The following is a 19,585-nucleotide window of genomic DNA, read 5'->3' as shown; positions in this document are numbered from 1 at the left end:
CCACTGCTCAGTAAAGCAAGGTGCTCAATAAATGTTTGTTGAATGACTAAATCCACCCCCAACACACACAGAATTTCAAGGGCTGGGATAGGGGAGAGGAGGCTGGGGAAGACCTTCCAGCACCTGGAAGTGCAGGTCCTCAACAAAGACCCCATGAAGCCAGCTCCCTGCTGTGGTTGATTGTTCTCAATGACAGGAGACAGGAGAGGGCCCCAAGTTCTCGGGCCGCACCCCTTGAGCCGGGCCGCCCAGCACCGGCCGGGTGGGCGCCCCCTGGTGGACAGTCCCGAGGCCGCAGCCTGCAGGCGGCCGCCCTGTGCATTGCTGGCCGGCCTGAGTGGGACAGAGCTGGCCGGCGGATGTTGCTCTTGGCCCCTGGACTGTGGAATGCAAATTTTGAAATAAGAGCTACCAGATGTGAATACACACGATAAAGTGTGTATCAAGGTAGCAAAGGTCATACCCCAGCCACGTGGCGGCGGGCCCCTTCCCGGCCCTCAGAGCCAATCCTTCCCTTCCCATCCTCCAGAGACCCAGGGGTCTTCTCCCTTCGGCCTCTTGCCAAGGGACCCTGGACCCTTCCCTCTGTACCTGAGACCTGGAGCAGAACAGGACAGGAAACCTTCACCTTCAGGCCACCCCCAATACCACAGGCGTGAACCAGACTCACGGACATCTTGAGGCAGGAGAATAGCAGAGAAATTCGGGGGGCGAAGGGGACCGTTGGACATAGGTTAGCTTAAGCAGAAGCAAAACGTGTCAAATGGCAGAAGCAGGACATGCGAAATAAGGGAGGAAGCAGTGAGTTGGAACATGCAGGATAAGGAAAATAAGCCAGAAGGACTTGCAGTAGCAGTTTGGCCACGAAAAATAAAGCTAAAGATGAGCAATTTGGTCAAAAGAGATAAAGAAAGATTAGGCAAGGATGAGCAACTAACTTACAAGAGATAAAGTGAGGTTAAGGAAGTGATGAAAAACATATAAAAGGCCATGAAATGTACGGCCGGGCGCGGTGGCTCACGCCTGTAATCCCGGCACTTTGGGAGGCCGAGGCGGGCGGATCATTTGAGGTCAGGAGTTCGAGACCAGCCTGGCCAACATGGTGAAACCCCACCTCTACTAAAAACACACAAAAGTTCGCCGGGCATGGTGGTACACGCCTGTGATCCCAGCTACTCTAGAGGTAGAAGCAGGAGAATCACTTGAACCCGGGAGGCGGAGGTTGCAGTGAGCTGAGATCGCACCACTGCACTCCAGCCTGGGCGACAGAGCAAGACTCCATCTCAAAAATAAAAAATAAAAAAAAAATTTAAAAAGAGTCCTTTAAAAAAAAAAGGCCATGAAATGTAACAAACTGGGGCTGATCTCATCTCGGAGAGCTCAGTCCGCTCTCCCCTCTGAGAGTGGAATACTGTGCTTCATAAACGTTTGCTCCTTTCCTTTGCTGTCTGTGCGCGTCTCATCCAATTCTTTGTTTTGGACACCAGGAGACTGGAACTGCACAGTACCATCCAGTAACAATCACACACGTGCACAAACACACACACACACACACACACACACCATGCCCTGGGGAAGACAGAGAGACAGAAACAGAAAAGCTGAGAGACAGGCAGTGAAGAGCATTCAGAGTCTAAAACATAAACACTGAGAGAAACTCCAGAGACAGTGAAAGAGACAGAGACAGGGAGAGGAACCGGAACACAAATGGGAGAGATGAAGTCAGAGAGACAATACAGAGGAGAGAGGCTGGGCACGGTGGCTCTCGCCTGTGACCGCAGCACTTTGGGAGGTCAAGGCAGGAGAATCACTTGAACCCAGAAGTTTGAGACCAGCCTGGGCAACATAGTGAGACCCCATCTCTACAAAAGAAAAAAATTAGCCAAGCATGGTGGCAGGTGCCTGTAATCCTAGCTTCTCAGGAGGCTGAGGTGGAAAGACCCCTTGAGCCCAAGAGGTCAAGGCTGCAGTGAGCCAGGATCACACCACTGCAGTGCATCCTGGGTGGCAGAGCCAGACTCTGTCTCTAAAAATAGATATATACATACATACACACATACATAGATGATAGATCCATAGATAGGCAGGTGATAGATAGATGATAGTTGAGAGAATTGTGGATAACCCAGGGATGGACAGAAAGCCAGGAGGAGCAGAAGAGGAACGAGCAAGGGTGGGCGAGATGGAGAGATAGCAATGGGGCTAGTGTGAGTCACAGACAGCTGGCAGGCAGAGGGACCAAGGGGCAGAGTACAAGAGGCTGTCTAGGAGGCTGGAGACCCTTGGAGACACCCGAGAGAAACATGGGAGGCCAATGGTGTCCCCAACACAGACACCAGCCACACCAGGCCCAGCAGCCCCACCTGTGCAGTGGTTCAGCACAGTGGTAGTGTTGAGCATGGCAGGGGTAGCAGTCAACGTGTACGTGCCATGGCTGGTGAGGGCACTGGGTGTCTGTCTGTCCTACTGCAGCTGGTCTCACCATGTCCTGCTGACAGGAAACTGGACCTCTGGCAACATCACTGGCTGCACTCAGCCCCAGCTCCCAATATGCCCCCACCTGCCTGCTGGCCCCCACCCTAGGCCTGGTAGGACCTCAACTGCTGACCTTGCCCATAGTGCTGCTGGCCAGTGAGCGGGCCTGGGAAGCAAACTCATGATGTCAGGTTTAAATCCCTGCTTCAGGCAGGAGAATCAGCGCGTGCGGTTCTAGGTACTGAGCCGTGGTCATTTGTTACATCAATTTCGGGAAACATCCTGGCTTCCCAGAGCAGACCCCCGAGGGTGGGGGTCCAAGCAGAGACTGAGGCTGTCACACCCGGTGCTCCCCTACCCAACCTGAGACCCAGGGTCCCCGCTCCGGCCAACACCCTTCCAGAAACAAGGGGACCCGGCCCAACCTCTGCCTCCCACAGACACCAGGGGTCCCAGTGCCTCAATAAAACACCCTGGGGGAGACTGCGCCCTGTTCTCCCGTCCCCTCCCGTCCTGCCACACCCTTCCCCCTCTCCTCCCTCACTCTGCTGCTCAGGATTCTATGAGCCCCAGGATTTCGGGGGTGACCCTCCAGGAGCCAACCCCTCCTGCTGGCTGGAGACCTCGGCCCGCACCAGCCCCTTTGGGAGCCTCGGTTTCCCCTCCTAAGGTGCTGGGCTGAGCAGAGGGAGGGAGGCACAGGTGTGTCTGAGGGTGGGTGGGCAGATGCAGCCCAGCTCCCCTCCCTCCCAGCCCCCTCCCCACGGCTCCAATTAAGGGTCCTCCACGCTCAATCGCTGCATTTGACTTACTGGCGGCCTCGCCTCCCGAACGAGGCCTTTGTTCCCTTAATTGGCCATCTCCAGGCACCATTCTCTGCCCCCCGCCGACGCACGCCAGGTCCATATCCCAGGTCCAACTATGCGCTAATTGGGCACTTAGAGGGCCCCAGAAAGCCCCCTCCCCTCCCTGTTCCCTGCCTTCCTATATTAGCCCCCACCTGCCGCTCCCTCAGACTTCAGGTCGGGCTCCTGGGAGGTGGGGACAGGGTTAGGGCACAGTGGGGAGGCCTTGGCCCAATTCCCAGCCCTGCCTCCTCCCCAGCCCGGGGTGCCTGGGCCTCCAGAGTCCCCTGCCCCTCCCTGCTCACAGATTTGGGGGGTGCTTTGGTCAGCAATATTGTGGGGAGTTACTCCAGACCACCCTGGCCATGCACCCCGGGGTCCCCGAAGGCCCTGGGGTCTCCGAGCCCGGCCCCCGGGAGCTGTGTGCCTTTGTGAGCGGGGCGGCCGCCCACATGCTGCGGGCCCTGCAGCCCCGGCGCACCCGGCCCCCCAAGAGGCGGCCCAACCACAGAAGGTTTCTGCACAACCAGATCTGCAGGTGAGGGGGCTGGTGGGGAAGGTGGGCACGGGACGGGGAAGAGGGGAAGGAGCAACCAGCACCCTTGGCTGGGGGAGACCAGGTACAGACAGAGAGGAGCAGCCCCCAGGGCTGGATGCCAGCAACAGTCAACGTGCATTTATTGAGTGCCTACTGTGTGCCAGGCCAGTTAGCAAAGCAGATAAAGTTCCTTGCTGTCGTGGAGGTTGTGTTTTCATGGGGGTGGCGGACGGTCAGGAATCACCAAAATAAATAACTAGCACGGTGTGATGCGACCACATAGGTGACCCTTGCAAATATGCTGGCCGGGGGTGGTGGCTCAAGCCTGCAATCCCAGCACCTTGAAAGGCCGAGGCAGGAGGATCGCTTGAGTTCAGGCGTTAGAGACCAGCCTGCTCACATCTGTCTTTACAGGCAGTTCACCAAGATTGAGGCTGCCACCCAGCGCCTGGCCCTCTCCATCCTGTCCCAGGAGGCACCTCCCCAGAGACCCTCGCTCCAAAAGCCACCCCCACCGCCTCCATCCCCCTTCCTGGGAGTGGCCTGTGCTGTGGCCCCCACTGAGGCTCCCCATGCCAGCGCCAGCCTGAGTCTCGCTGCCCTGGACACCTCTACCCTCGACCTCTTTGACAACATTGCGCTCACCCCAGAGTGTGCCTCAATGCCATGGGACCCCTCCTCTGGTTCTGATGCTCCCCTGCCAGCGCCGGGTCTGTCCCATCGCGACCTGGGCCAGCTGGACCTGAGGCAGGTCCCACATTTCTGCGGCCCCCTGCCCCTTCCCCAGCATGCCCTGGGGGAAGAGGCTGATCTCGTGGCTCCCGACTGGGGTTGGGTGGACTGCTGGGAGGTGCCTCGTGCCTGGGATTCTCAGGGGATCCCCGAGGGTTGGGGGACCAGCTCCCCATGAGGCCAATCACAACCCAGCCCAGAACCCAGGACAAGCCAGAGGCCCCTCCACGACGGCTCTACAGCCCTCTCCAGGAGCCCCCAACCTGTCCACTCCCTTCCTGGCAGCCCCTGGGAAAATAAACCAACCCAGACCCCCACTTCAGACCACTGCCTCAGGGGTCTCCTCCTGGGCCCAGGGGCCCCACCTCCACCTCTTCTTGCTTTCCTGCCTTCCCCCTTCCTTCTGCCTAGCCCCATCTGGGCATCCACCCCTCACTCTCACCCAGGCTCACCTCTGCCTAATGTCTGCTCTCCTGTCATTTATTCCCAAAGATGTATCGAGCGCCTACTATGGGCCAGGCCCAGGTCTAGGACTTGAGGATTCAGCTGTGAACGAGGCAGACGGGACCCCTGCCTCAGGGAGCTCCCTGTTCTGTGTGCATGTGTGTGTTTTGGCGGGGAACAGACAATAAAAGAGTATATCCATGCATTTTTCAAAAAGCAAGATTCATTTCCAATTCAGATTGGAGTTAGTGCTGAAAAGAAAATAAAACACAAGGCCGGGTGCGGCGGCTCACACCTGTAATCGCAGCACTCTGGGAGGCCAAGGCAGGCGGATCACTTGAGCCCAGGAGTTCAAAACCAGCCTGGGCAACAGAGTGAGACCTCCATCTTTACAAAAAAATTAAAAAATTAGTCAGGTGTGGTGGCGCATACCTGTGGTCCCAGCTACTCAGGAGGCTGAGGTGGGAGGATCGCTTGAGCCCGGGAGGTTGAGGCTGCAGCAAGCTGTGATCGTACCATGGTACTCCAGCCTGGGTGATAGAGCAATTTTTTTCTTTTTTTTGATGTTTCAAAAAAATTAAAAACAGCGACCTGATGGAAGGGCTACCTGACACCAGGTGGTCAGGAAAGGCTTTGAAAGCCTGGAAGGTTGGGCCATGGGGAGTCCTAGGATTCCAGGCTGAGGCAGCACACGTGCAAAGGCCCTGCGGTGGGACATTGAGGGAAGAGCAAGAGGAGACCCCTGTGGCTGGAGCGGAGTGAGCAGGGGGAGTGGTGAGAGGCGAGGTCTGCACGGACCAGGAAGGCCGACCATGAATTGGGAGGAGTTTGGATTTATTCCAAGACAGATAGGAAATTCTCTCTTTCTCTCAACCTCCATTTCCAAGCACAGAGTCTAAATTATTCTAAACACCACCCGAGGAGGCAGGTGCTGTACAGATGGGGAAACTGAGGCAGCACAGAGCGCAAAGGACAGGGGGGCGTCAAATTCCTCACTTGATCGCTCCCTCAGCCAGCCCCTTCCTGGAAAGTGCTTGGGTATCTTTGTAAGCCTCCGTTTCTTGAGAGAGGGCCAGGTTTCGAACCGCAGACATGCCTCTACTCTAGGTAAGACCCCTCTCTCTCTCTCCCGGCCTCGGCGGTCTGCTCTGTGCAATGGGGCCGGCCGAGACGCCCTCTCTCCAGCCAGAGTCTGAGCCTTCGGAGACCACCGCGCGACTCCGCCCCGTCGGCCGCCACTCACGCCCTCTACGGCTCTCCATTGGCAGAACGACCTGCTGCCCCGCCCCCACGGCGCCTTTGCGAGCTAATCATTTTCTTGAGACTGACAGCCTTGCCGGCACCGCCCCCCCTGGGGCGGGAGCAAAGCAGCTGCATATGCGGATTGGTTGAGAGGCAGGGGGCGGGGTGAGTTGGTGAGCGCCGATTGCGGGCAGAGGCAGTGGCACATGCGGATTGGCCGGAGAGAGCGGCGAGGCAGAGCATGATGAGTGTCGATTGGACGGCTGGGCCCAAGTGGGCGGAAAACGGACGGTGCAGGGGGTGGGCCACGTGTCCAGCCCTAACGAAACGGTAACCAGCCCTGGGAAGCCCGCAAGAGGCCTCAGCGGTGGCCGTCCGAGAGCCGAGAGGTGAGGGTGCCCCCGCCTCACCTGCAGAGGGGCCGTTCCGGGCTCGAACCCGGCACCTTCCGGGTAAGTCCTCTCTCGCTGCTGGCGCTATTTGGAGACCGACCTTACCGCCTAGCAGATGGGGAAACTGAGGCTCTGCCTGGGCGTCCCGGGCCAAGGTCACAGGACCAGAAGGAGGACTCCACCTGGCCCCGCCAGAATTGGCTGGCCAGAGATTGGAAGCGTCCCCGGGTCGCGCCTGCCGCCTCTGTAACAGCGCTGGGGGGTGGGCAGGTTTAATCCCCATTTCTCCGACGAGAAAACTGAGGCTAAGACAAAGAGAAACTTGCCCAAGGTCACACAGCCAGGAAGTCCGGGCTCCAAGGCCGGGTTTCCGAGACCGGGTGGGGAAATCAACGGCCCTACCCCGCCCCCTGTTGCCGCCCACCTCCAGCCACGCCCCCTTTGGCCTTGGGTACCCTCCACCCAGGCTGAATCTCTCCTCGTTCCGCAGGACACGCCCAACCCTCTCCAGCCCAGACCTCCCCTTCACATCTCTCTCTCTCACACACCCACCCTCACCCCAATTTTTCATCTCCCAAAAACCAGTTCCCCTCCCCGGGATCCCCTATGAATCTTCAGATCATGCCCCTCGCTCGACCAGAAACTGGGGGCCTTTCTCCCCGACTTTCCCCACCGTCCCAGCTGCCCCTTCCTGACTCTCCCCTGTCCCACTGGGCCCCAGCGCCGACCTCCTGCTCTCTGGCCTTTTGCCTCCAGTTCAACCGCACGGCGGGGGCCTGAAGCCATCTTTGTATTTTGCATTTTGAACACTTTTTCTGGAATAATACCACAAACGCAGAAAATCGAACGGTTTGCAAATACACAGCTTAAATAAATATTTATAAAGGGAGCACCCTGGTGTAAACAAGTATCCAAAGAAAAAAGTCAAACATGCGCCACATCCCAGGATCTCCCGCCGTCGTCGTTTCCATCACTGTGGTCCAAGGGCAGTCACTGTCCTGGCTTCTGACGCCATAGATCAGTTTTGCCGGGTTTTGGCTTTATGCCAACCCTTTATTGTATATAGTATTGACTAGACAACTTGTTGCACATTGTCCAGAATTCAGAAGAAACAGAATAGGACCCAGTGAAAAGGCTCCTACAGACTTCCCCGGTGCCTGGTTCACCCGCCTGAGTCTCCCGTTTCTTGCTTGTTTGCCAGAGATAGCAGATATAGATATAGGCAACACAGACACATTTTCCTCTCCCTTTTTTCTTTGGCACAAAAAGGAGCATTCCATACACACTGTTCTGCTTCTTTTTCACTTCTCTCAAACATGTTTTCGTATTGTTACTTAAAGAGCTTCCTCGTAATTTTTTCTGGCTGCGAGGAATAACAGAGTATAGTTATGGCATGACTTACGTAACCAGTACCCTCATTGTGGACATTGATACTTAACTTCTGCTCCTTTGCTCTGGGGAAGAGTCCTGTAATGAATAATCCTGTGTCGTTTCACATGAATGTCTGTAGGATAAATGCTTAGGAGCAGCTTTTGAGGTCAGAGGGTTTGTGTATCCATCATTTTGAGAAATGCAGCTGCTCGGCTGTCCCTAGGAGTTGTTGTGACCCACACTCCTACCAGGCCAGAGGGGAGTTCCTGGGTGCTCCACATGCCTGTCCTAGGCTTTTGGACATGCTGGCCCCCAGATCTGCCCCTCCATGGCTCCTCACTGCCCTCAGCAGAGAGACTCCAGGGCCCTTGTGACCCACCTGTCAGCTCTCCAGCTCCTGGTTCCCTCAGAACCATCCCTTGGGGCCCGGGTGTCCAGGTCCCGCCTCCTGCACAGGGGAGGAAGAGTTAGCACATGAGTGGCCGTGAGAGGGTCACTCCATGGGGAGGAAACCGCAAGGGCTGTTTGAGAGGAGGGAGTGGCTGGGCTGAGGCTGGAGGGTCTTCAGAGCAGTGCGGGGCGGGGGGGAAAGGGGCGCCTGCATCTTAGTCCTGAGGACAGAGAGAATCCACGGGGGTCAGGGGACAGTTTGAGACAGGGGAGTAATAGCTTTGTGTTTTGTGAAAAGATCATTTTTCTGTCGTCAGTTTCTCTAGGAGAACACTGCAGCCCCTGCCAAGCTGTATCTGACTCCCTCCAAATCCCACTTATCACAGTTGTAATTATGGGATTAATTCACTGTGGTTTTGTTTCAGAGGGAGTTTCCATTCAATTTTATTTAATGAGATAAAATTTGCACAACATAAAATTGACCATTTTAACCATTTATTCGTTTTTAAACTTGAGATATGGTGCACATAGAAAACATTTGCTATGGTAGATGGATTATGTTCAAAGAATAATAGGCCAGGCGCGGTGGCTCACGCTTGTAATCCCAGCATGTTGCAAGGCTGAGGCGGGAGGTTCGCTTGAACCCAGGAGTTCGAGACCAGCCTGGGCAACATAGGAAGACCCTGTCTCTAAAAATATAAAAATACAAAAATTAGCCAGGTGTGGTGGCATACACCTGTAGCTCTAGCTACTTGGGAGGCTGAGGTGGGATGATCACTTGAGCCCAGGAGGTTAAGGATGCAGTGAGCTATGATTGCGCCACTGTACTCCAACCTGGGTGACACTATGAGACCCTGTCTCAAAAAGAAAAAATAGTACAGGGAGGCCAAGGCAGGAGGGTTGCTTGAGGCCAGGACGAGAGAGAGAAAGAAAGACAAGGAACAACAGTGTCCTAACTACCCAGCTTTGAAAATAGCAGCTCAAGGCCAGGTGCGGTGGCTCACACCTGTAATCACCAGCACTTTGGGAGACTGAGGCGGGTGGATCACGAGGTCAGGAGTTCAAGACCAGCCTGGCCAACATGGTGAAACCCCATCTCTACTAAAAATACAAAAATTAGCCAGGCATGGTGGCACAAGCCTGTAATCCCAGCTACTTGGGAGACTGAGGCAGGAGAATCCTTGAACCTGGGAGGCAGAGCTTGCAGTGAGCCAAGATCGCGCCACTACACTCCAGCCTGGGTGACAGAGCAAGACTCCATCTCAAAAAAAAAAAAAAGAAAAGAAAATAGCAGCTTCTTGTTGAGTGCCCTGCCTCCCTCAGCTTCCCAGAACACCTTCTGTCTTGCCTCCAATGAGCCTCCAGGGTCTCCCATTTCCCTGGTGAATTAATGAATAAATGAGTTAAGTACAAACAAATTGTACACACAGACGGGGAGAGAGCTGCAGACAAAAGCCCAGCCCAAACCCTCACTTGTGCAGCAAACTCGGAGACCCAAAAGCACAAGCCTCCCAGGGACGTAGGCCAAGACGTGCTGATTCAGGGCCCCTGCGGTGTAGACGCTCTGACAGCGTAGACGCTCTGACCGAGTGGAAGTCAGGTGTGCCCTGTATGGCTGCAGGACTTAGGGCAGGTTAACGGGCCCTCTGGGTCGAGGTTTCCTCCCCTGCAAAAGAATTGCTGGCCAGGTGGCTTCACCAGCCTGTCCTTTTTTTCTTTCTCTTCTTTTCTTTCTTTTCTTTTTTTTTTTTAATTGTGGTAAAATGCACTTAACATAAAACTTACCCTTTCAGCCATTTGAAAATGCAGTGGAGTGGCATTCATAGTCATGCTGTTCTGCAGCCGCCACCACCAAGTCCCAGAGCATTTTCACCATCCCAAACTGAAAACTACACCCCCCAGCAGTCAACCTGAATTCCTCCCGGCCACAGCCCCTGGCAGCCAATCATCTGCTTTCTTTCTCTTTTTTTTTTTTTTTTGAGATGGAGTTTTGCTCTTATTGTCCAGGCTGGACTGGCAGTGGTGCTATCTCTGCTCACTGCAACCTCCGCCTCCCAGGTTCAAGTGATTCTCCTGCCTCAGCCTCCCAAGTAGCTGGGACAACAGGTGCGTGCCACCGTGCCTGGCTGATTTTTGGTATTTTTAGTAGATATGGGGTTTCACCATGTTGGCCAGGCTGGTCTCAAACCCCTGGCCTCAGATGATCCGCCCGCCTCGGCCTCCCAAAGTCCTGGGATTACAGGCGTGTGCCACCAAGCCCAGTCTCTTTTTTTTTTGAGACAGAGTCTTGCTCAGTCACCCAGGCTGGAGTGCAGTGGTGTGATCTCGGCTCACTACAACCTCTGCCTCCTGGGCTTCAAGCGATTCTCCTGCCTCAGCCTCCCGAGCAGCTGGGTTACAGGCACCCGCCACTGCCTGGCTAATTTTTGTATTTTTAGTAGAGACAGGGTTTCGCCATGTTAGCCAGGCTGGTCTTGAACTGACCTCAGCTGATCCGCCCACCTCAGCCTCCCAAAGTGCTGGGATTATAGGCGTGAGCCACTGCGCCCGGCCCCATCTGCTTTCTGTCTGTGGATTTGCCTGTTCTGGGCATTTCAGGAAAACGGGATCGCACGCTCCGTGGTCTTTGTGTTGAGATCTATCCAGGTTGTGGCCTGTGCAGGGTCCCCCTTCTTTCCTATGGCTGAAGAATATGGCCTCAGTTTCCTCTTGGAGCAGGGTGAGGATCAGGGTGGACCCTTCATTCAGGAGGCCCTGGGGAGTGGGCTGGCCCAACACAGGAGGACGCCCAGCAGAGCCTCCGTTTTGGGGCTGATGGTAACCAGGGCTGACAGTAACCGGGGCTGATGTAACCGGGATCTGATAGTAACCGGGGCTGATGGTGACCAGGGCGGATGGTGACTGGGGTGGATGGTAACCAGGGCAGATGGTAACTGAGGCTGATGGTAACCGGGACTGATAGTAACTGGGGTGGATGGTAACCGGGGCGGATGGTAACCGGGATCATGAAGCACTCCTTGACGTTGTGCACAGTCCTCAGCAAGGAGAACACAGGGACCAGGAGAGGGACACCCGGAGCCACGTGTGGATGTGGCCCAGAAGGCTTCCCAAGGAAGTCACCTCCCTGCCGAATAGGACAGAAATAAGAAAGAAGCCCATTCTAGGCCCGGGGAACAGCAGACACAGAGACCTTGAGGTGGGAAGAAGGTTGGCAAGGTGCCCCGGGCCCTGCCAGGCTCTGAGTGTGAGGACCTGGACGCCAGCTGGAGACACTGAGAGGAGCCCTCGGGCCTGACCCACCGTCCCTCTGCCCACCCCCAGAAAATGGCGGCTGCCAGGCCCAGCCTGGGCCGAGTCCTCCCAGGATCCTCTGTCCTGTTCCTGTGTGACATGCAGGAGAAGTTCCGCCACAACATCGCCTACTTCCCACAGATCGTCTCAGTGGCTGCCCGCATGCTCAAGGTATGACCTCAGCCCCCCACCCTCAGACCCAGGATCCAGGCTCAGCCCTCCACCCTCAGACCCAGGATCCAGGCTCAGCCCTCCACCCTCAGACCCAGGATCCAGGCTCAGCCCTCCACCCTCAGACCCAGGATCCAGGCTCAGCCCTCCACCCTCAGATCCAGGATCCAGGCTCAGCCCTCCACCCTCAGACCCAGGATCCAGGCTCAGCCCTCCACCCTCAGACCCAGGCGTCCAGGCCCAACTCCTCTTCCTTCAGACCCAGGGATCCAGGCCCACTTCCTCTTCCCTCAGACGCAGGAGTCCAGGCCCAGCTCCTCCTCCCTCAGACTCAGGAGTCCAGGCATAGCCCCTCCTCCCTCACACCCAGGAGTCCAGACCCCCAGCCCCTCCTCCCTCAGACCCAGGAGTCCAGGCCCAGCCCCTCCTCCCTCAGACCCAGGAGTCCAGGCCCAGCCCCTCCTCCCTCAGACCCTGACCTTTCTTCCCCATCACTGGCACAGGTGGCCCGGCTGCTTGAGGTGCCAGTCATGCTGACGGAGCAGTACCCACAAGGCCTGGGCCCCACGGTGCCCGAGCTGGGGACTGAGGGCCTTCGGCCGCTGGCCAAGACCTGCTTCAGCATGGTGCCTGCCCTGCAGCAGGAGCTGGACAGTCGGCCCCAGCTGCGCTCTGTGCTGCTCTGTGGCATTGAGGCACAGGCCTGCATCTTGGTGAGATGCTGACTGACCCCAGGGGTCCCTCGTTCTAACCTGGGACCCCCATCCTAAATAGAACCTCCTTCCCTGACCAGAAACCTCCACTTCCCTGCAGGACCCCCATCCTGACCTGGGCCCTCTCTCCTCACCTGTGGGCCCCATCCTATCTTGGATCCCCTCCTGACCTGGGGGCCCCTTCCTCTGATCCGAGCCTCCCTCCTCCCCATTCTGGGCCCCTAATTCTGACTCACCATCCCCAATTCCTTACCCAGGACCCCCGTTCTTATCCGGGGTTGGCCCTGACCTCTCTCTACCCACAGAACACGACCCTGGACCTCCTAGACCGGGGGCTGCAGGTCCATGTGGTGGTGGACGCCTGCTCCTCACGCAGGTGAGAGGGCCCCTGCCTGGGTGGGTGCACGTGGGGGCCATCAGGGGCTCCCAGGAAGGGCCACAGGCGGCATTCCCACCAGGGTGCCTGCGTGTCTGGGTGTCCAGACTGCGGCGTCCACACCAACCTTCCCTCCCTCCCTCCCACTCACAGCCAGGTGGACCGGCTGGTGGCTCTGGCCCGCATGAGACAGAGTGGTGCCTTCCTCTCCACCAGCGAAGGGCTCATTCTGCAGCTTGTGGGCGATGCCGTCCACCCCCAGTTCAAGGAGGTAATGCCCGCCTGGCCGCCCCCACCTCCCCTGCATCTGTCAAAGGTCTTGTCTTTGGGCTCTGAGAATACATCTCGGCACCAGCAGGCTGCCGCCTCCAGGGGGAGCCAGGTTCTTGGAGGGGAGGCTGCTGGTCACTGTCACTGCCATAAATCCATGAAAGGAGCCCACAGATGGACCATAAGGGCCACAGAGAACAATAAAATGGGGGAGGCAATCCAGAGGGTCAGGGCACAGAGGAGGGGGTTTGTATTGGAGGGTCTGGGGGGCATCCTGGAGCAGGTGACTTTAGAATGAACTGAAGGAGGGAGTGACCAGGCGGACACTGGGGAAGAACAGGTCAGCAGAGACCCTCTAGATAGAAGCCCCTTGACCCGTCCACACCCATCTCCAACTCTCCATCTCCTCCGCCTCTGCCCCTTCCGGCCCGGGTGCCCCTCCTCCAGTTTCTCAGACTCCACTGGCCACCCTGCTACCGGGGTCAGCCAGGTACTGGGCCCCCCTGCTTCAAGCCATTGGCCCTCAGGATGCTGGAGAGGCCCCAGACCTTGACATTCCCAGGCCCTCCCAGGTCTGCTCCTTACCTTCCTTCTAGTTCAGCTCTGTGGGACATTCACCGAGCACCCACTCTGTGCCAGCCACTGTGGTGAGCCCTGGAGTCTGCAGCAATCCATGTTCAGTGACACATTGTGACCCCCAGCTGGGGCAGGAGTTGCAGAGGGATGAGCAAGAGTGGCAGAGGTGGCCCTGAATTCTGAGCTGCCGGGGAAGGGGGCATCAGGCACTCACAGTGTTCCCAGGGGAGGGGGACTGAGCTTTCTTTGAGGAGCTGTAGCAGGCCAGGGTGAGCACCACGCGGGAGGAGCCAGCAGCCTGTCTTCACGCAGGAGTCAGAGCCCAGAGGTTTGAGATTTCAGCCACGGGCAGCCATCAGGGTTTGATGCAGGGGAGCTGGCCATATCAGATCGGCAGTTTACAAAGTTCTTTCTGGCCCTGTGTGACCAGTGGATTAGGGAGTGTGGCATAGAGGGGAGGAGGGAGACCTGTCAGTAAGGAGGTTAATTTGGGCGCCCAGGCAAGCGGTGATGAGGCAGGGGGGATGCAGGCTTTTTTGTTGTTGTTGTTGTTTATTTATTTATTTATTTATTTTATTTTCTGGAGATAAACTTGCTGGGACTTGCTGATGGATGAAATGCGGTTGGTTGCTCATGTCTATCTAAGAGGCAGTTAGATAGATGAGTCGAGTTCAGGGGCAAAGTCCAGGCTGGATTTGTGAGCTGAGGGCCCAGAAGAGGGATGGGAGAAATGAGGTTACTTAAGAAGAGGAAGGTGTAGACAGGAAGCCCCAGCACAGAGCTGTCCACCCTTAGTGGTCCAAGCCCGCAAAGCACACCAAGATGGCAGGCAGTGAGGAGCTCAACCAGTCACGTGTAATGAAAGGGAGGCCCCAGGAAAAGTCTTGAGAAGAGGGAGTGTTGTCTTGGGCAGCTGCTAGCCAGAAGGTCCGAGAGATGAAGACGGAGAGGTGTCCCTCAGATTTGTCATCCATGGAGATCGGGACCCTAGACGCTTCCTGACCCATCGCCCCCTGCCCTTACAGATCCAGAAACTCATCAAGGAGCCCGCCCCAGACAGCGGACTGCTGGGCCTCTTCCAAGGCCAGAACTCCCTCCTCCACTGAACTCCAACCCTGCCTTGAGGGAAGACCACCCTCCTGTCACCCGGACCTCAGTGGAAGCCCGTTCCCCCCATCCCTGGATCCCAAGAGTGGTGCGATCCACCAGGAGTGCCGCCCCCTTGTGGGGGGGGCAGGGTGCTGCCTTCCCATTGGACAGCTGCTCCCGGAAATGCAAATGAGACTCCTGGAAACTGGGTGGGAATTGGCTGAGCCAAGATGGAGGCGGGGCTCGGCCCCGGGCCACTTCACGGGGCGGGAAGGGGAGGGGAAGAAGAGTCTCAGACTGTGGGACACGGACTCGCAGAATAAACATATATGTGGCTGTGGACCAAACCATTCTTGGGTTGGGGGGGATCCCGGGGGCGACTGGGGGCTGCAGGAGGGAGAAAGCGGGGTCCCCAGCAGGTGGGGGGGGGGAGGTGCCTCTTCTCGGCGCGAGGCAAAGGCGAGGGCTGGCGGCTGACACATCTGCACGGACGCGGCGCATCTGCTCGGAGGAGAACTGCGGCCGGGGTCGCCCCCAGCCGGCGCGCGCACGCCCAGCCCAGCTGCCGGCAGACACGCGCTCCGCCGCCGCCTCCGGCCGCCCCCCACGCCGCCACCCCCGGCTCCCCAAGGGTCCCGCATCCGGAAAGCGAGGTGAGCGAGACCGCACCCAGGTGCGGAAGGGAAACTGAGGCAAGGGGACATGGAGACGGGAGGAAGGAAGACACAGCCATGTGGATGGGTGGATGGATGGATGGAAGGATGGATGGACGGATGGAAGGAAGGGCTGAAAGCATTGTAGTCCCGGCTCCCCCAGACGCAGGAGTTCCGGGACCCACATGGGGGCTCCCAGAATTCTGCAGATCTAGGAGTTGGAATCTGCAGACCCCCAGGGAGAGCTCCTCCGTTCCAGATTTGCAGCCCTTGCCTCTTCCCCAACCTTGGAGACCTGAGAGGCCACCCCTGAGTCCTCAGAGACACCGGCGTCAGAGCTGTCAGTCAGCCCGCCCCGCGTTGGGCAATCGGAGCCCCCACCGCCGACCCTGGGAGCCCAGACCCCTCCCAGAAGGTCCGGTCCCCTGGCCCCCAGCGTCGGAGCGCCCAGCATCCCTCTCCCCAGGGATCTAGGAGGAGCCCCTGGGACCGGGCGGCGGCGCCCCCGGCCCCCGCCTTCCGGATCCAGGTGTCCCCCCTCCTCACCCCCCAAGCCCGAAGCCTCGCGTCTCCGAGGCCCCGCGCGCGTCGCCATGGCAACGAGAGTCTATTTTGCGCTGGGAACACACAGCTCCCGCCGCAGCGCCCCCCCACCCCACCAACCCGGGCCTGAATGGGAGTGGGGGACCCGGGAGGGGGCTCGGGGGGCCGGGTCGGGGGCGAGTGGAGACACAGACACTCAGACAGAGATCAGACGACAGCAAACCTGGGACAGAGAAAGAGACGTGGAGCCAGGAAGGAGAGACAAGCGGGATGTGGAGACAGAGGGGTGACGGAGACCGGGCGGGGGAAGGAGGGAAATGGAGGCGCGCAGGGAACTGAGGCTCGGAGCTGGGGACAGCCCGGGACACAGGCGCCGGGACGGAGAGAGACGCGGAGAGAGACGCCGAGATGCGAGGAGACCCGCAGCGACAGACGAGGGCTGAGACCCCCGCTAGAGACAGAGACGGGCGGGGGAGGCGGGGGTCCGGGAGGAGGCGTGGACGGGGCGCCCCGGGACGCGAAGATGCAGAGACCCAGAGACAAGCACGCGGGCCGGGCGGCGCAGGGATCTGGGCGGGGGCGCCGGGACCGGCCGCCGCCTGGGCTGCGGGTCGGGGGAGGGTCCTCCTCCCTCGCTCGGTCCCTGCCTTCCCCGCGGCCCGCGAGGCACGGCGCCCCCGTGCAGCCCCCAGGGTCTCCCCGCCCCGCCGCCCCTGGCGCCCGGAACTGGGGTCCCCGCGCCCTCCAGCAAGAGCCCGCCCCTTCCCTCTGGGCTTTCCCCACCCGCCCGGGCCCGCCTCCTCTTGAACGCACACCCCTACCCCAAACCGACCCGTCAACCCCAGAGGAGCTCCACCGTTCGCACTCGGACCGGCGCCCGCCCGGCCCAGCCCTGGCCTCTCTCTCCATACCCACTGCGCCCCTCAGCCCCCCACCCACCCCCTGCGGACCCCACTCCAGCCCAGCTCCCGAGACCCCAGAGGCGCCGACTCTCTCGGGCGTCTGTCCCCTCGGTAGGTCAGGTCCTCCCCTCTCTGGCTCTCTCTCCTCTCAGGGTCTCTGAACCCCACTTCTCTAGGACGCTGCGTCCCCTCTGAGCATTTGTCTCCCGCCCCCCGCCCGTCTCTTTTGCGTCTCTCTCTGGGTCTCTGTCCCCTCTCTGGGTCTCTGTCCCCCCTCTCTCTCTGGGTCTCTGTCCCCCTGTCTCTGGGTCTCTGTCCCCTTGTCTCTGGGTCTCTGTCCCCTCTCTGGGTCTCTGTCCCCCCTCTCTCTCTGGGTCTCTGTCCCCCTGTCTCTGGGTCTGTGTCCCCCTGTCTCTGGGTCTGTGTCCCTCTCTCTCTCTGGGTCTTTGTCCCCCTGTCTCTGGGTCTCTGTCCCCCTCTCTCTCTGGGTCTCTGTCCCCCTCTCTCTCTGGGTCTCTGTACCCTCTCTCTCTGGGTCTCTGTTCCCTCTCTCTCTGAGTCTCTGTCCCCCTGTCTTTCTGGGTCTCTGTCCCCCTGTCTCTGGGTCTCTGTCCCCTTCTCTCTCTGGGTCTCTGTCCCCCTCTCTCTCTGGGTCTCTGTCCCCCTCTCTCTCTGGGTCTCTGTCCCCTCTCTCTCTGGGTCTCTGTCCCCTGTCTTTCTGGGTCTCTGTCCCCGTCTCTGGGTCTCTGTCCCCCTCTCTCTGGGTCTCTGTCCCCCATCTCTCTGGGTCCCTGTCCCCCTGTCTCTCTGAGTCTCTGTCCCCTCTCTCTGGGTCTCTGTCCCCGTCTCTGGGTCTCTGTCCCCCTCTCTCTGGGTCTCTGTCCCCCATCTCTCTGGGTCCCTGTCCCCCTGTCTCTCTGAGTCTCTGTCCCCTCTCTCTGGGTCTCTGTCCCCGTCTCTGGGTCTCTGTCCCCCTCTCTCTGGGTCTCTGTCCCCCATCTCTCTGGGTCCCTGTCCCCCTGTCTCTCTGAGTCTCTGTCCCCTCTCTCTGGGTCTCTGTCCCCGTCTCTGGGTCTCTGTCCCCCTCTCTCTGGGTCTCTGTCCCCCATCTCTCTGGGTCCCTGTCCCTCTATCTGGGTCTCTGTCCCCCTCTCTCTGGGTCTCTGTACCCCCTTCTCTCTCAAACACACACAATCTGCCCTGCCTTTGGCTCTCTGTCCCCTCTCCCAGGACCTCTGTTTCCCCTTCAGTATCCCTGTCCCTTTCTCTGAGCTTCTGGGATCCTGGCCCCCAGCCCCCAGCCAAGAGGGTTGGGAGGGGACGCAGCAGGTGGAGTGTGCAGCACAGAGCTGGGCAGGGGGCTGGTGGGGGGTGGGGGAGGAGCTCCCAGAAGCCCAGGGACCCTGCCCAGGCTGGCTCTCTGACCTGTGTCCCCACATCTGTGTCTGTCAGGTCCTGAGCTGGGGTTCAGCGGGGCATGCAAGATGCAGACGTGAAGCCTGGGGTCCCGGGCCCCTTCCCCCTCAGCTGTGGAGGAGGAGAGCGCCGTTGTGTGCGTGAGAGCCGAGGTGGGGGCGGGTGTGGGGCGGAGGTGTCACATGGCGCCTTCCACACTCTCCATTGCTGGTGAGGGTGTATTTGCACACGTGTGTGCGCCCCTGAGGTTGCGTGGCTGTGAGCTGTGATGTGTGTGGTCGCGGGCCCACGTGGAGCCAGGTGGGGCAGGTCCCTGGTCCTGTCCCAGAGCTGTAAGTGGTCCCAGTGTGTAGGGGTTGAAATGTGCAGAAGCCCATGTTTGTGTTGTGTGTCCACGTGGAGTGGTGTGTATGTGCGTCCGTGTGCCGGGAGGAGGCCACAGGAGTGCCACCAGGTCCTTTCGTGTTGTGTCTGGGACTATCTGGGTGCCCTGTGCTCTGTGTCAGCGTGTTCGGCAGTGTCTCTGCGCAGCTTTGTGTGAGGTCAGGGAAGAATTCATCCAGTGTCTGGATGGGGCCGCTGTGTCTGCAGGTGCACGTCCTCTCTCCACCCACCTATAGGTGCTGCCCTGACCAGGAGGGGTAGAGAAGCTGTGTGTGGTGTGTGTGCGTGTGGTGTGTGTGTGTGGTCTGTGTGGCGTGTGTGTGGTGTGGGGGGTCAGTGTGGTGTGTGTGTGTGTGTGTGTGGTGTGTGTTTGTGTGGCCTGTGTGTGGTGTGTGTGTGTGTATGTGTGGCCTGTGTGGCATGTGTGTGGTGTGGGGGGGTCAGTGTGTGGTGTGTGTGTGTGTGTGTGTGGTCTGTGTGGCGTGTGTGTGGTGTGGAGGGTCAGTGTGTGGTGTGTGTGTGTGGTGTGTGGTGTGTGTGTGTGTGTGGTGTGTGTATGTGTGGCCTGTGTGCGTGTGTCAGTGTGTGGTGTGTGTGTGTGGTGTGTGTGTGTATGTGTGGTGTGTGTGTGGTGTGTGTGTGTATGTGTGGTCTGTGTGGCGTGTGTGTGGTGTGGAGGGTCAGTGTGTGGTGTGTGTGTATGTGTGGTGTGTGTGTGGTGTGTGTGTGTGGTGTGTGTGTATGTGTTGTCTGTGCGGCGTGTGTGGTGTGG

General features: G+C 58.7%; 2 protein-coding genes across 5 annotated transcripts, besides 5 other annotated features; both read left to right on the top strand.

Annotated features, from left to right (window-relative positions):
- Positions 18-147: a silencer, noted in NCBI's record as "silent region_11036". NCBI's record gives its function as "represses an Ori minimal core promoter by ATAC-STARR-seq in GM12878 lymphoblastoid cells {active_cell/tissue: GM12878}" and the evidence as "EXISTENCE:reporter gene assay evidence [ECO:0000049][PMID:35858748]".
- Positions 158-387: a silencer, noted in NCBI's record as "silent region_11035". NCBI's record gives its function as "represses an Ori minimal core promoter by ATAC-STARR-seq in GM12878 lymphoblastoid cells {active_cell/tissue: GM12878}" and the evidence as "EXISTENCE:reporter gene assay evidence [ECO:0000049][PMID:35858748]".
- Positions 3,046-3,768: an enhancer, noted in NCBI's record as "OCT4-NANOG-H3K27ac-H3K4me1 hESC enhancer chr19:55975839-55976561 (GRCh37/hg19 assembly coordinates)". NCBI's record gives its function as "activates a minimal SCP1, AML or CMV promoter by ChIP-STARR-seq in naive H9 embryonic stem cells {active_cell/tissue: H9 hESC(naive)}" and the evidence as "EXISTENCE:reporter gene assay evidence [ECO:0000049][PMID:30033119]".
- C19orf85 (chromosome 19 open reading frame 85) lies at positions 3,489-5,239 on the top strand. The gene is made up of 2 exons (NM_001386794.1): positions 3,489-3,858; positions 4,273-5,239. The coding sequence occupies exons 1-2, from the start codon at positions 3,686-3,688 to the stop codon at positions 4,766-4,768; spliced, it is 669 nt and encodes a 222-aa protein (NP_001373723.1). The 5' UTR covers positions 3,489-3,685; the 3' UTR covers positions 4,769-5,239.
- Positions 4,491-5,213: an enhancer, noted in NCBI's record as "H3K4me1 hESC enhancer chr19:55974394-55975116 (GRCh37/hg19 assembly coordinates)". NCBI's record gives its function as "activates a minimal SCP1, AML or CMV promoter by ChIP-STARR-seq in naive and primed H9 embryonic stem cells {active_cell/tissue: H9 hESC(naive and primed)}" and the evidence as "EXISTENCE:reporter gene assay evidence [ECO:0000049][PMID:30033119]".
- On the top strand, positions 6,598-15,255 carry ISOC2 (isochorismatase domain containing 2). 4 transcript variants are annotated; one of them, NM_001136201.2, is made up of 6 exons: positions 6,598-6,728; positions 11,751-11,891; positions 12,395-12,604; positions 12,910-12,980; positions 13,134-13,251; positions 14,852-15,255. In NM_001136201.2, exons 2-6 carry the CDS (start codon positions 11,754-11,756, stop codon positions 14,930-14,932), a joined length of 618 nt encoding a protein of 205 aa, NP_001129673.1. In that variant the 5' UTR covers positions 6,598-6,728; positions 11,751-11,753; the 3' UTR covers positions 14,933-15,255. The 4 variants fall into 4 exon arrangements, with proteins under 4 accessions (NP_001129673.1, NP_078986.1, NP_001129674.1 ...); NM_024710.3 differs by having other exon boundaries at positions 12,862-12,980; NM_001136202.2 differs by lacking the exon at positions 12,395-12,604.
- Positions 13,263-13,342: a silencer, noted in NCBI's record as "silent region_11034". NCBI's record gives its function as "represses an Ori minimal core promoter by ATAC-STARR-seq in GM12878 lymphoblastoid cells {active_cell/tissue: GM12878}" and the evidence as "EXISTENCE:reporter gene assay evidence [ECO:0000049][PMID:35858748]".
- Positions 15,256-19,585: the final 4,330 nt, after the last annotated feature.

This window comes from Homo sapiens, chromosome 19, assembly GCF_000001405.40.
Source record: "Homo sapiens chromosome 19, GRCh38.p14 Primary Assembly".
Taxonomy (NCBI): domain Eukaryota; kingdom Metazoa; phylum Chordata; class Mammalia; order Primates; family Hominidae; genus Homo; species Homo sapiens.
This window is presented reverse-complemented; position numbering and strand designations above follow the sequence as displayed.

Coding starts and splice junctions, on each gene's coding strand:
- C19orf85 (NM_001386794.1), top strand. CDS start 3,686: ATGCACCCCGGGGTCCCCGAAGGCCCTGGGGTCTCCGAGCCCGGCCCC. Junction 3,859..4,272: donor CTGCACAACCAGATCTGCAG/GTGAGGGGGCTG, acceptor CTGTCTTTACAG/GCAGTTCACCAAGATTGAGG.
- ISOC2 (NM_024710.3), top strand. CDS start 11,754: ATGGCGGCTGCCAGGCCCAGCCTGGGCCGAGTCCTCCCAGGATCCTCT. Junction 11,892..12,394: donor TGGCTGCCCGCATGCTCAAG/GTATGACCTCAG, acceptor TCACTGGCACAG/GTGGCCCGGCTGCTTGAGGT. Junction 12,605..12,861: donor AGGCACAGGCCTGCATCTTG/GTGAGATGCTGA, acceptor TTCCTTACCCAG/GACCCCCGTTCTTATCCGGG.